Raw genomic sequence first — 14,656 nt, 5'->3', positions numbered from 1 at the left:
AGGAAGGTTCAACTCTGTGAGTTGAATACACACACCACAAATAAGTTACTGAGAATTCTTCTGTGTAACATTATATGAGGAAATCCCGTTTCCAACGAAGGCCTCAAAGAGGTCCAAATATCCACTTGCAGACTTTACAAAGACAGTGTCTCCAAACTCCTCCATCAAAAGAAAGGTTATACTCTGTGAATTGAACGCACACATCACAAAGTAGTTTCTGAGAATGATTCTGTCTAGTTTTTATACGAAGATATTTCCTTTTCTACATTTGGCCTAAAAGCGCTTGAAATCTCCACCTGCAAATATCACAAAAAGCGGGTTTCACATCTGCTCTGTCTAAAGGACAGTTCAGCTCTGTGAGTTGAATAGAGGCAACACAAAGAACTTACTCAGTATTCTTCTTTCTAGCGTTCTATGAAGAAATCCCGTTTCCAACGAAGGCCCCAAAGAGGTCCAAATATCTGCTTGCAGACTTTACAGACAGAGTGTTTCCAAACTACTCTATGAAAAGAAAGCTTAAACTCCTTGAGTTGAACGCACACATCACAAAGTAGTTTCTGAGAATGATTCTGTCTAGTTTTTATACGAAGATGTTTCCTTTTCTACATTTGGTCTCAAAGCGATTGAAATCTCCAACTGGAAACTGCACAAATAGGCTGTTTCAAATCTGCTCTGTCTAAAGGAAGGTTCAACTCTGTGAGTTGAATACACACACCACAAATAAGTTACTGAGAATTCTTCTGTCGAACATTACTTGAAGAAATCCCGTTTCCAACGAAGGCCTCAAAGAGGTCCAAATATCCACTTGCAGACATTACAAACAGAGTGTTTCCAAACTGCTCCATCAAAAGAAAGGTTAAACTCTGTGAGCTGAACACACACATCGAAAAGAAGTTTCTGTGAATGATTCTGTCTAGATTTTATAAGAAGATGTTTCCTTTTCTACCGTAGGCCTCAAAGCGCTTGAAATCTCCAGCTGCAAATTCCACAAAAAGGGTGTTTAACATCTGCTCTTCTAAAGGAAAGTTCAACTCTATGAGTTGAATACACACAGCACAAAGAAGTTACTGAGACTTCTTCTGTCGAACATTACTTGAAGAAATCCCGTTTCCAACGAAGGCCTCAAAGAGGTCCAAATATCTGCTTGCAGACTTTACAGACAGAGTGTTTCCAATCTGCTCCATCAAAAGAAAGGTTAAACTCCTTGAGTTGAACACACACATCACAAAGTAGTTTTTGTGAATGATTCTGTCTAGTTTCTATACTGAAGATGTTTCCTTTTCTACCTTTGGTCTCAAAGCGATTGAAATCTCCACATGGAAACTCCACAAAAAGAGTGTTTCAAATCTGCTCTTTCTGAAGGAAGGTTCAACTCTGTGAGTTGAATACACACACCACAAATAAGTTACTGAGAATTCTTCTGGGTAACATTATATGAGGAAATCCCGTTTCCAACGAAGGCCTCAAAGAGGTCCAAATATCCACTTGCAGACTTTACAAAGACAGTGTCTCCAAACTCCTCCATCAAAAGAAAGGTTATACTCTGTGAATTGAACGCACACATCACAAAGTAGTTTCTGAGAATGATTCTGTCTAGTTTTTATACGAAGATATTTCCTTTTCTACATTTGGCCTAAAAGCGCTTGAAATCTCCACCTGCAAATATCACAAAAAGAGGGTTTCACATCTGCTCTGTGTAAAGGACAGTTCACCTCTGTGAGTTGAATAGAGGCAACACAAAGAACTTACTCAGTATTCTTCTTTCTAGCGTTCTATGAAGAAATCCCGTTTCCAACGAAGGCCCCAAAGAGGTCCAAATATCTGCTTGCAGACTTTACAGACAGAGTGTTTCCAAACTACTCTATGAAAAGAAAGCTTAAACTCCTTGAGTTGAACGCACACATCACAAAGTAGTTTCTGAGAATGATTCTGTCTAGTTTTTATACGAAGATGTTTCCTTTTCTACATTTGGTCTCAAAGCGATTGAAATCTCCAACTGGAAACTGCACAAATAGGGTGTTTCAAATCTGCTCTGTCTAAAGGAAGGTTCAACTCTGTGAGTTGAATACACACACCACAAATAAGTTACTGAGAATTCTTCTGTCGACCATTACTTGAAGAAATCCCGTTTCCAACGAAGGCCTCAAAGAGGTCCAAATATCCACTTGCAGACATTACAAACAGAGTGTTTCCAAACTGCTCCATCAAAAGAAAGGTTAAACTCTGTGAGCTGAACACACACATCGAAAAGAAGTTTCTGTGAATGATTCTGTCTAGATTTTATAAGAAGATGTTTCCTTTTCTACCGTAGGCCTCAAAGCGCTTGAAATCTCCAGCTGCAACTTCCACAAAAAGGGTGTTTAACATCTGCTCTTCTAAAGGAAAGTTCAACTCTATGAGTTGAATACACACAGCACAAAGAAGTTACTGAGACTTCTCCTATCAAACATTATATGAAGAAATCCCGTTTCCAACGAAGGCCTCAAAGAGGTCCAAATATCTGCTTGCAGACTTTACAGACAGAGTGTTTCCAAACTGCTCCATCAAAAGAAAGGTTAAACTCCTTGAGTTGAACACACACATCACAAAGTAGTTTCTGTGAATGATTCTGTCTAGTTGTTATACGAAGATGTTTCCTTTTCTACCTTTGGTCTCAAAGCGATTGAAATCTCCACATGGAAACTCCACAAAAAGAGTGTTTCAAATCTGCTCTTTCTGAAGGAAGGTTCATCTCTGTGAGTTGAATACACACACCACAAATAAGTTACTGAGAATTCTTCTGTGTAACATTATATGAGGAAATCCCGTTTCCAACGAAGGCCTCAAAGAGGTCCAAATATCCACTTGCAGACTTTACAAAGACAGTGTCTCCAAACTCCTCCATCAAAAGAAAGGTTATACTCTGTGAATTGAACGCACACATCACAAAGTAGTTTCTGAGAATGATTCTGTCTAGTTTTTATACGAAGATATTTCCTTTTCTACATTTGGCCTAAAAGCGCTTGAAATCTCCACCTGCAAATATCACAAAAAGAGGGTTTCACATCTGCTCTGTCTAAAGGACAGTTCACCTCTGTGAGTTGAATAGAGGCAACACAAAGAACGTACTCAGTATTCTTCTTTCTAGCGTTCTATGAAGAAATCCCGTTTCCAACGAAGGCCCCAAAGAGGTCCAAATATCTGCTTGCAGACTTTACAGACAGAGTATTTCCAAACTGCTCCATCAAAAGAAAGGTTAAACTCCTGGAGTTGAACACACACATCACAAAGTAGTTTCTGTGAATGATTCTGTCTAGTTTTTATACGAAGATGTTTCCTTTTCTACCTTTGGTCTCAAAGCGATTGAAATCTCCACATGGAAACTCCACAAAAAGAGTGTTTCAAATCTGCTCTTTCTGAAGGAAGGTTCAACTCTGTGAGTTGAATACACACACCACAAATAAGTTACTGAGAATTCTTCTGTGTAACATTATATGAGGAAATCCCGTTTCCAACGAAGGCCTCAAAGAGGTCCAAATATCCACTTGCAGACTTTACAAAGACAGTGTCTCCAAACTCCTCCATCAAAAGAAAGTTTATACTCTGTGAATTGAACGCACACATCACAAAGTAGTTTCTGAGAATGATTCTGTCTAGTTTTTATACGAAGATATTTCCTTTTCTACATTTGGCCTAAAAGCGCTTGAAATCTCCACCTGCAAATATCACAAAAAGAGGGTTTCACATCTGCTCTGTCTAAAGGACAGTTCACCTCTGTGAGTTGAATAGAGGCAACACAAAGAACTTACTCAGTATTCTTCTTTCTAGCGTTCTATGAAGAAATCCCGTTTCCAACGAAGGCCTCAAAGAGGTCAAATATCTGCTTGCAGACTTTACAGACAGAGTGTTTCCAAACTACTCTATGAAAAGAAAGCTTAAACTCCTTCAGTTGAACGCACACATCACAAAGTAGTTTCTGAGAATGATTCTGTCTAGCTTTTATACGAAGATGTTTCCTTTTCTACATTTGGTCTCAAAGCTCTTGAAATCTCCAACTGGAAACTGCACAAATAGGCTGTTTCAAATCTGCTCTGTCTAAAGGAAGGTTCAACTCTGTGAGTTGAATACACACACCACAAATAAGTTACTGAGAATTCTTCTGTCGAACATTACTTGAAGAAATCCTGTTTCCAACGAAGGCCTCAAAGAGGTCCAAATATCCACTTCCAGACATTACAAACAGAGTGTTTCCAAACTGCTCCATCAAAAGAAAGGTTAAACTCTGTGAGCTGAACACACACATCAAAAAGCAGTTTCTGTGAATGATTCTGTCTAGATTTTATAAGAAGATGTTTCCTTTTCTACCGTAGGCCTCAAAGCGCTTGAAATCTCCAGCTGCAAATTCCACAAAAAGGGTGTTTAACATCTGCTCTTCTAAAGGAAAGTTCAACTCTATGAGTTGAATACACACAGCACAAAGAAGTTACTGAGACTTCTTCTTTCTAGCGTTCTATGAAGAAATCCCGTTTCCAACGAAGGCCTCAAAGAGGTCCAAATATCTGCTTGCAGACTTTACAGACAGAGTGTTTTTAAACTGCTCCATCAAAAGAAAGGTTAAACTTCCTTGAGTTGAACACACACATCACAAAGTAGTTTCTGTGAATGATTCTGTCTAGTTTTATACGAACATGTTTCCTTTTCTACCTTTGGTCTCAAAGCGATTGAAATCTCCACATGGAAACTCCACAAAAAGAGTGTTTCAAATCTGCTCTTTCTGAAGGAAGGTTCAACTCTGTGAGTTGAATACACACACCACAAATCAGTTACTGAGAATTCTTCTGTGTAACATTATATGAGGAAATCCCGTTTCCAACGAAGGCCTCAAAGAGGTCCAAATATCCACTTGCAGACTTTACAAAGACAGTGTCTCCAAACTCCTCCATCAAAAGAAAGGTTATACTCTGTGAATTGAACGCACACATCACAAAGTAGTTTCTGAGAATGATTCTGTCTAGTTTTTATACGAAGATATTTCCTTGTCTACATTTGGCCTAAAAGCGCTTGAAATCTCCACCTGCAAATATCACAAACAGAGGGTTTCACATCTGCTCTGTCTAAAGGACAGTTCACCTCTGTGAGTTGAATAGAGGCAACACAAAGAACTCACTCAGTATTCTTCTTTCTAGCGTTATATGATGAAATCCCGTTTCCAACGAAGGCCTCAAAGAGGTCCAAATATCTGCTTGCAGACTTTACAGACAGAGTGTTTCCAAACTACTCTATGAAAAGAAAGCTTAAACTCCGTGAGTTGAACGCACACATCACAAAGTAGTTTCTGAGAATGATTCTGTCTTGTTTTTATACGAAGATATTTCCGTTTCTACGATTGGCCTCAAAGCGATTGAAATCTCCAACTGGAAACTGCACAAATAGGGTGTTTCAAATCTGCTCTGTCTAAAGGAAGGTTCAACTCTGTGAGTTGAATACACACACCACAAATAAGTTACTGAGAATTCTTCTCTCGAACATTACATGAAGAAATCCCGTTTCCAACGAAGGCCGCAAAGAGGTCCAAATATCCACTTGCCGACATGTCAAACACAGTGTTTGCAAACTGCTCCGTCAAAAGAAAGGTTAAACTCTGTGAGATGAACACACACATCAAAAAGAAGTTTCTGTGAATGATTCTGTCTAGATTTTATAAGAAGCTGTTTCCTTTTCTACCATAGGCCTCAAAGCGCTAGAAATCTCCAGCTCCAAATTCCACAAAAAGTGTGTTTAACATCTGCTCTGTCTAAAATAAAGTTCAGCTCTGTGAGTTGAATACACACAGCACAAAGAAGTTACTGAGACTTCTTCTGTCTAACATTATATGAAGAAATCCCTTTTCCAAAGAAGGCCTCAAAGAGGTCCAAATATCCACTTGCAGACTTGTCAAACAGAGTGTTTGCAAACTGCACCATCAAAGGAAAGGTTAAACTCTGTGAGCTGAACACACACATCACAAAGAAGTTTCTGTGAATGATTCTGTCTAGTTTTTATACGAAGATGTTTCCTTTTCTACCTTTGGTCTCAAAGCGATTGAAATCTCCACATGGAAACTCCACAAAAAGAGTGTTTCAAATCTGCTCTTTCTGAAGGAAGGTTCAACTCTGTGAGTTGAATACACACACCACAAATAAGTTACTGAGAATTCTTCTGGGTAACATTATATGAGGAAATCCCGTTTCCAACGAAGGCCTCAAAGAGGTCCAAATATCCACTTGCAGACTTTACAAAGACAGTGTCTCCAAACTCCTCCATCAAAAGAAAGGTTATACTCTGTGAATTGAACGCACACATCACAAAGTAGTTTCTGAGAATGATTCTGTCTAGTTTTTATACGAAGATATTTCCTTTTCTACATTTGGCCTAAAAGTGCTTGAAATCTCCACCTGCAAATATCACAAAAAGAGGGTTTCACATCTGCTCTGTCTAAAGGACAGTTCACCTCTGTGAGTTGAATAGAGGCAACACAAAGAACTTACTCAGTATTCTTCTTTCTAGCGTTCTATGAAGAAATCCCGTTTCCAACGAAGGCCTCAAAGAGGTCAAATATCTGCTTGCAGACTTTACAGACAGAGTGTTTCCAAACTACTCTATGAAAAGAAAGCTTAAACTCCTTGAGTTGAACGCACACATCACAAAGTAGTTTCTGAGAATGATTCTGTCTAGTTTTTATACGAAGATGTTTCCTTTTCTACATTTGGTCTCAAAGCGATTGAAATCTCCAACTGGAAACTGCACAAATAGGCTGTTTCAAATCTGCTCTGTCTAAAGGAAGGTTCAGCTCTGTGAGTTGAATACACACACCACAAATAAGTTACTGAGAATTCTTCTGTCGAACATTACAGGAAGAAATCCCGTTTCCAATGAAGGCCTCAAAGAGGTCCAAATATCCACTTGCGGACATTACAAACAGTGTGTTTCCCAACTGCTCCATCAAAAGAAAGGTTAAACTCTGTGAGCTGAACACACACATCAAAAAGAAGTTTCTGTGAATGATTCTGTCCAGATTTTATAAGAAGATGTTTCCTTTTCTACCGTAGGCCTCAAAGCGCTTGAAATCTCCAGCTGCAAATTCCACAAAAAGGGTGTTTAACATCTGCTCTTCTAAAGGAAAGTTCAACTCTATGAGTTCAATACACACAGCACAAAGAAGTTACTGAGACTTCTCCTATCAAACATTATATGAAGAAATCCCGTTTCCAACGAAGGCCTCAAAGAGGTCCAAATATCTGCTTGCAGACTTTACAGACAGAGTGTTTCCAAACTGCTCCATCAAAAGAAAGGTGAAACTCCTTGAGTTGAACACACACATCACAAAGTAGTTTCTGTGAATGATTCTGTCTAGTTTTTATACGAAGATGTTTCCTTTTCTACCTTTGGTCTCAAAGCGATTGAAATCTCCACATGGAAACTCCACAAAAAGAGTGTTTCAAATCTGCTCTTTCTGAAGGAAGGTTCAACTCTGTGAGTTGAATACACACACCACAAATAAGTTACTGAGAATTCTTCTGTGTAACATTATATGAGGAAATCCCGTTTCCAACGAAGGCCTCAAAGAGGTCCAAATATCCACTTGCAGACTTTTCAAAGACAGTGTCTCCAAACTCCTCCATCAAAAGAAAGGTTACACTCTGTGAATTGAATGCACACATCACAAAGTAGTTTTTGAGAATGATTCTGTCTAGTTTTTATACGAAGATATTTCCTTTTCTACATTTGGCCTAAAAGCGCTTGAAATCTCCACCTGCAAATATCACAAAAAGAGGGTTTCACATCTGCTCTGTCTAAAGGACAGTTCACCTCTGTGAGTTGAATAGAGGCAACACAAAGAACTTACTCAGTATTCTTCTTTCTAGCGTTCTATGAAGAAATCCCGTTTCCAATGAAGGCCCCAAAGACGTCCAAATATCTGCTTGCAGACTTTACAGACAGAGTGTTTCCAAACTACTCTATGAAAAGAAAGCTTAAACTCCTTGAGTTGAACGCACACATCACAAAGTAGTTTCTGAGAATGATTCTGTCTAGTTTTTATACGAAGATGTTTCCTTTTCTACATTTGGTCTCAAAGCGATTGAAATCTCCAACTGGAAACTGCACAAATAGGGTGTTTCAAATCTGCTCTGTCTAAAGGAAGGTTCAACTCTTTGAGTTGAATACACACACCACAAATAAGTTACTGAGAATTCTTCTGTCGAACATTACTTGAAGAAATCCCGTTTCCAACGAAGGCCTCAAAGAGGTCCAATTATCGACTTGCAGACATTACAAACAGAGTGTTTCCAAACTGCTCCATCAAAAGAAAGGTTAAACTCTGTGAGCTGAACACACACATCAAAAAGAAGTTTCTGTGAATGATTCTGTCTAGATTTTATAAGAAGATGTTTCCTTTTCTACTGTAGGCCTCAAAGTGCTTGAAATCTCCAGCTGCAAATTCCACAAAAAGGGTGTTTAACATCTGCTCTTCTAAAGGAAAGTTCAACTCAATGAGTTGAATACACACAGCCCAAAGAAGTTACTGAGACTTCTCCTATCAAACATTATATGAAGAAATCCCGTTTCCAACGAAGGCCTCAAAGAGGTCCAAATATCTGCTTGCAGACTTTACAGACAGAGTGTTTCCAAACTGCTCCATCCAAAGAAAGGTTAAACTCCTTGAGTTGAACACACACATCACAAAGTAGTTTCTGTGAATGATTCTGTCTAGTTTTTGTACGAAGATGTTTCCTTTTCTACCTTTGGTCTCAATGCGATTGAAATCTCCACATGGAAACTCCACAAAAAGAGTGTTTCAAATCTGCTCTTACTGAAGGAAGGTTCAACTCTGTGAGTTGAATACACACACCACAAATAAGTTACTGAGAATTCTTCTGTGTAACATTATATGAGGAAATCCCGTTTCCAACGAAGGCCTCAAAGAGGTCCCAAATATCCACTTGCAGACTTTACAAAGACAGTGTCTCCAAACTCCTCCATCAAAAGAAAGGTTATACTCTGTGAATTGAACGCACACATCACAAAGTAGTTTCTGAGAATGATTCTGTCTAGTTTTTATACGAAGATATTTCCTTTTCTACATTTGGCCTAAAAGCGCTTGAAATCTCCACCTGCAAATATCACAAAAAGAGGGTTTCACATCTGCTCTGTCTAAAGGACAGTTCACCTCTGTGAGTTGAATAGAGGCAACACAAAGAACTTACTCAGTATTCTTCTTTCTAGCGTTGTATGAAGAAATCCCGTTTCCAACGAAGGCCCCAAAGAGGTCCAAATATCTGCTTGCAGACTTTACAGACAGAGTGTTTCCAAACTACTCTATGAAAAGAAAGCTTAAACTCCTTGAGTTGAACGCACACATCACAAAGTAGTTTCTGAGAATGATTCTGTCCAGTTTTTATACGAAGATGTTTCCTTTTCTACATTTGGTCTCAAAGCGATTGAAATCTCCAACTGGAAACTGCACAAATAGGGTGTTTCAAATCTGCTCTGTCTAAAGGAAGGTTCAACCCTGTGAGTTGAATACACACACCACAAATAAGTTACTGAGAATTCTTGTGTCGAACATTACTTGAAGAAATCCCGTTTCCAACGAAGGCCTCAAAGAGGTCCAAATATTCACTTGCAGATATTACAAACAGAGTGTTTCCAAACTGCTCCATCAAAAGAAAGGTTAAACTCTGTGAGCTGAACACACACATCAAAAAGAAGTTTCTGTGAATGATTCTGTCAAGATTTTATAAGATGTTTCCATTTCTACCGTAGGACTCAAAGCGCTTGAAATCTCCAGCTGCAAATTCCACAAAAAGGGTGTTTAACATCTGCTCTTCTAAAGGAAAGTTCAACTCTATGAGTTGAATACACACAGCACAAAGAAGTTACTGAGACTTCTCCTATCAAACATTATATGAAGAAATCCCGTTTCCAACGAAGGCCTCAAAGAGGTCCAAATATCTGCTTACAGACTTTACAAAGACAGTGTCTCCAAACTCCTCCATCAAAAGAAAGGTTATACTCTGTGAATTGAACGCACACATCACAAAGTAGTTTCTGAGAATGATTCTGTCTACTTTTTATACGAAGATATTTCCTTTTCTACATTTGGCCTAAAAGCGCTTGAAATCTCCACCTGCAAATATCACAAAAAGAGGGTTTCACATCTGCTCTGTCTAAAGGACAGTTCACCTCTGTGAGTTGAATAGAGGCAACACAAAGAACTTACTCAGTATTCTTCTTTCTAGCATTCTATGAAGAAATCCCGTTTCCAACGAAGGCCCCAAAGAGGTCCAGATATCTGCTTGCAGACTTTACAGACAGAGTGTTTCCAAACTACTCTATGAAAAGAAAGCTTAAACTCCTTGAGTTGAACGCACACATCACAAAGTAGTTTCGGAGAATGATTCTGTCTAGTTTTTATACGAAGATGTTTCCTTTTCTACATTTGGTCTCAAAGCGATTGAAATCTCCAACTGGAAACTGCACAAATAGGGTGTTTCAAATCTGCTCTGTCTAAAGGAAGGTTCAACTCTGTGAGTTGAATACACACACCACAAATAAGTTACTGAGAATTCTTCTGTCTAACATTATATGAGGAAATCCCTTTTCCAACGAAGGCCTCAAAGAGGTCCAAATATCCACTTGCAGACTTGTCAAACGGAGTGTTTCCAAACTGCACCATCAAAAGAAAGGTTAAACTCTGTGAGCTGAACACACACATCACAAAGTAGTTTCTGTGAATGATTCTGTCTAGATTTTATAAGAAGATGTTTCCTTTTCTACCGTAGGCCTCAAAGCGCTTGAAATCTCCAGCTGCAAATTCCACAAAAAGGGTGTTTCACATCTGCTCTTCTAAAGGAAAGTTCAACCCTATGAGTTCAATACACACAGCACAAAGACGTTACTGAGACTTCTCCTATCAAACATTATATGAAGAAATCCCGTTTCCAACGAAGGCCTCAAAGAGGTCCAAATATCTGCTTGCAGACTTTACAGACAGAGTGTTTCCAAACTGCTCCACCAAAAGAAAGGTTAAACTCCTTGAGTTGAACACACACATCACAAAGTAGTTTCTGTGTATGATTCTGTCTAGTTTTTATACGAAGATGTTTCCTTTTCTACCTTTGGTCTCAAAGCGATTGAAATCTCCACATGGAAACTCCACAAAAAGAGTGTTTCAAATCTGCTCTTTCTGAAGGAAGGTTCAACTCTGTGAGTTGAATACACACACCACAAATAAGTTACTGAGAATTCTTCTGTGTAACATTATATGAGGAAATCCCGTTTCCAACGAAGGCCTCAAAGAGGTCCAAATATCCACTTGCAGACTTTACAAACACAGTGTCTCCAAACTCCTCCATCAAAAGAAAGGTTATACTCTGTGAATTGAACGCACACATCACAAAGTAGTTTCTGAGAATGATTCTGTCTAGTTTTTATACGAAGATATTTCCTTTTCTACATTTGGCCTAAAAGTGCTTGAAATCTCCACCTGCAAATATCACAAAAAGAGGGTTTCACATCTGCTCTGTCTAAAGGACAGTTCACCTCTGTGAGTTGAATAGAGGCAACACAAAGAACTTACTCAGTATTCTTCTTTCTAGCGTTCTATGAAGAAATCCGGTTTCCAACGAAGGCCCCAAAGAGGTCCAAATATCTGCTTGCACACTTTACAGACAGAGTGTTTCCAAACTACTCTATGAAAAGAAAGCTTAAACTCCTTGAGTTGAACGCACACATCACAAAGTAGTTTCTGAGAATGATTCTGTCTAGTTTTTATACGAAGATGTTTCCTTTTCTACATTTGGTCTCAAAGCGATTGAAATCTCCAACTGGAAACTGCACAAATAGGGTGTTTCAAATCTGCTCTGTCTAAAGGAAGGTTCAACTCTGTGAGTTGAATACACACACCACAAATAAGTTACTGAGAATTCTTCTGTCGAACATTACTTGAAGAAATCCCGTTTCCAACGAAGGCCTCAAAGAGGTCCAAATATCCACTTGCAGACATTACAAACAGAGTGTTTCCAAACTGCTCCATCAAAAGAAAGGTTAAACTCTGTGAGCTGAACACACACACCAAAAAGAAGTTTCTGTGAATGATTCTGTCTAGATTTTATAAGAAGATGTTTCCTTTTCTACCGTAGGCCTCAAAGCGCTTGAAATCTCCAGCTGCAAATTCCACAAAAAGGGTGTTTAACATCTGCTCTTCTAAAGGAAAGTTCAACTCTATGAGTTGAATACACACAGCACAAAGAAGTTACTGAGACTTCTCCTATCAAACATTATATGAAGAAATCCCGTTTCCAACGAAGGCCTCAAAGAGGTCCAAATGTCTGCTTGCAGACTTTACAAACAGAGTGTTTCCAAACTGCTCCATCAAAAGAAAGGTTAAACTCCTTGAGTTGAACACACACATCACAAAGTAGTTTCTGTGAATGATTCTGTCTAGTTTTTATACGAAGATGTTTCCTTTTCTACCTTTGGTCTCAAAGCGATTGAAATCTCCACATGGAAACTCCACAAAAAGAGTGTTTCAAATCTGCTCTTTCTGAAGGAAGGTTCAACTCTGTGAGTTGAATACACACACCACAAATAAGTTACTGAGAATTCTTCTGTGTAAAATTATATGAGGAAATCCCTTTTCCAAGGAAGGCCTCAAAGAGGTCCAAATATCCACTTGCAGACTTTACAAAGACAGTGTCTCCAAACTCCTCCATCAAAAGAAAGGTTATACTCTGTGAATTGATCGCACACATCACAAAGTAGTTTCTGAGAATGATTCTGTCTAGTTTTTATACGAAGATATTTCCTTTTCTACATTTGGCCTAAAAGCGCTTGAAATCTCCACCTGCAAATATCACAAAAAGAGGGTTTCACATCTGCTCTGTCTAAAGGACAGTTCACCTCTGTGAGTTGAATAGAGGCAACACAAAGAACTTACTCAGTATTCTTCTTTCTAGCGTTCTATGAAGAAATCCCGTTTCCAACGAAGGCCTCAAAGAGGTCAAATATCTGCTTGCAGACTTTACAGACAGAGTGTTTCCAAACTACTCTATGAAAAGAAAGCTTAAACTCCTTGAGTTGAACGCACACATCACAAAGTAGTTTCTGAGAATGATTCTGTCTAGTTTTTATACGAAGATGTTTCCCTTTCTACATTTGGTCTCAAAGCGATTGAAATCTCCAACTGGAAACTGCACAAATAGGCTGTTTCAAATCTGCTCTGTCTAAATGAAGGTTCAACTCTGTGAGTTGAATACACACACCACAAATAAGTTACTGAGAATTCTTCTGTCGAACATTACTTGAAGAAATCCCGTTTCCAACGAAGGCCTCAAAGAGGTCCAAATATCCACTTGCAGACATTACAAACAGAGTGTTTCCAAAATGCTCCATCAAAAGAAAGGTTAAACTCTGTGAGCTGAACACACACATCAAAAAGAAGTTTCTGTGAATGATTCTGTCTAGATTTTATAAGAAGATGTTTCCTTTTCTACCGTAGGCCACAAAGCGCTTGAAATCTCCAGCTGCAAATTCCAGAAAAAGGGTGTTTAACATCTGCTCTTCTAAGGGAAAGTTCAACTCTATGCGTTGAATACACACCGCACAAAGAAGTTACTGAGACTTCTCCTATCAAACATTATATGAAGAAATCCCGTTTCCAACGAAGGCCTCAAAGAGGTCCAAATATCTGCTTGCAGACTTTAAAGACAGAGTTTTTCCAAACTGCTCCATCAAAAGAAAGGTTAAACTCCTTGAGTTGAACACACACATCACAAAGTAGTTTCTGTGAATGATTCTGTCTAGTTTTTATACGAAGATGTTTCCTTTTCTACCTTTGGTCTCAAAGCGATTGAAATCTCCACATGGAAACTCCACAAAAAGAGTGTTTCAAATCTGCTCTTTCTGAAGGAAGGTTCAACTCTGTGAGTTGAATACACACACCACAAATAAGTTACTGAGAATTCTTCTGTGTAACATTATATGAGGAAATCCCGTTTCCAACGAAGGCCTCAAAGAGGTCCAAATATCCACTTGCAGACTTTACAAAGACAGTGTCTCCAAACTCCTCCATCAAAAGAAAGGTTATACTCTGTGAATTGAACGCACACATCACAAAGTAGTTTCTGAGAATGATTCTGTCTAGTTTTTATACGAAGATATTTCCTTTTCTACATTTGGCCTAAAAGCGCTTGAAATCTCCACCTGCAAATATCACAAAAAGAGGGTTTCACATCTGCTCTGTCTAAAGGACAGTTCACCTCTGTGAGTTGAATAGAGGCAACACAAAGAACTTACTCAGTATTCTTCTTTCTAGCGTTCTATGAAGAAATCCCGTTTCCAACGAAGGCCCCAAAGAGGTCCAAATATCTGCTTGCAGACTTTACAGACAGAGTGTTTCCAAACTACTCTATGAAAAGAAAGCTTAAACTCCTTGAGTTGAACAGCACACATCACAAAGTAGTTTCTGAGAATGATTCTGTCTAGTTTTAATACGAAGATGTTTCCTTTTCTACATTTGGTCTCAAAGCGATTGAAATCTCCAACTGGAAACTGCACAAATAGGGTGTTTCAAATCTGCTCTCTCTAAAGGAAGGTTCAACTCTGTGAGTTGAATACACACACCACAAATAAGTTA

At 38.7% G+C, this 14,656-nt stretch overlaps 1 annotated feature.

Moving 5' to 3' along the window:
- Nucleotides 1-14,656: part of a centromere (Linear centromere model derived predominantly from reads generated in PMID: 17803354. This region does not represent an actual centromere sequence, as long-range ordering of repeats and unmapped WGS contigs is not provided by the model. For details of model production, see http://arxiv.org/abs/1307.0035.) that runs on past both edges of the window.

The sequence above is a fragment of the Homo sapiens genome, chromosome 12, assembly GCF_000001405.40.
Source record: "Homo sapiens chromosome 12, GRCh38.p14 Primary Assembly".
NCBI classification, from domain to species: domain Eukaryota; kingdom Metazoa; phylum Chordata; class Mammalia; order Primates; family Hominidae; genus Homo; species Homo sapiens.
This window is presented reverse-complemented; position numbering and strand designations above follow the sequence as displayed.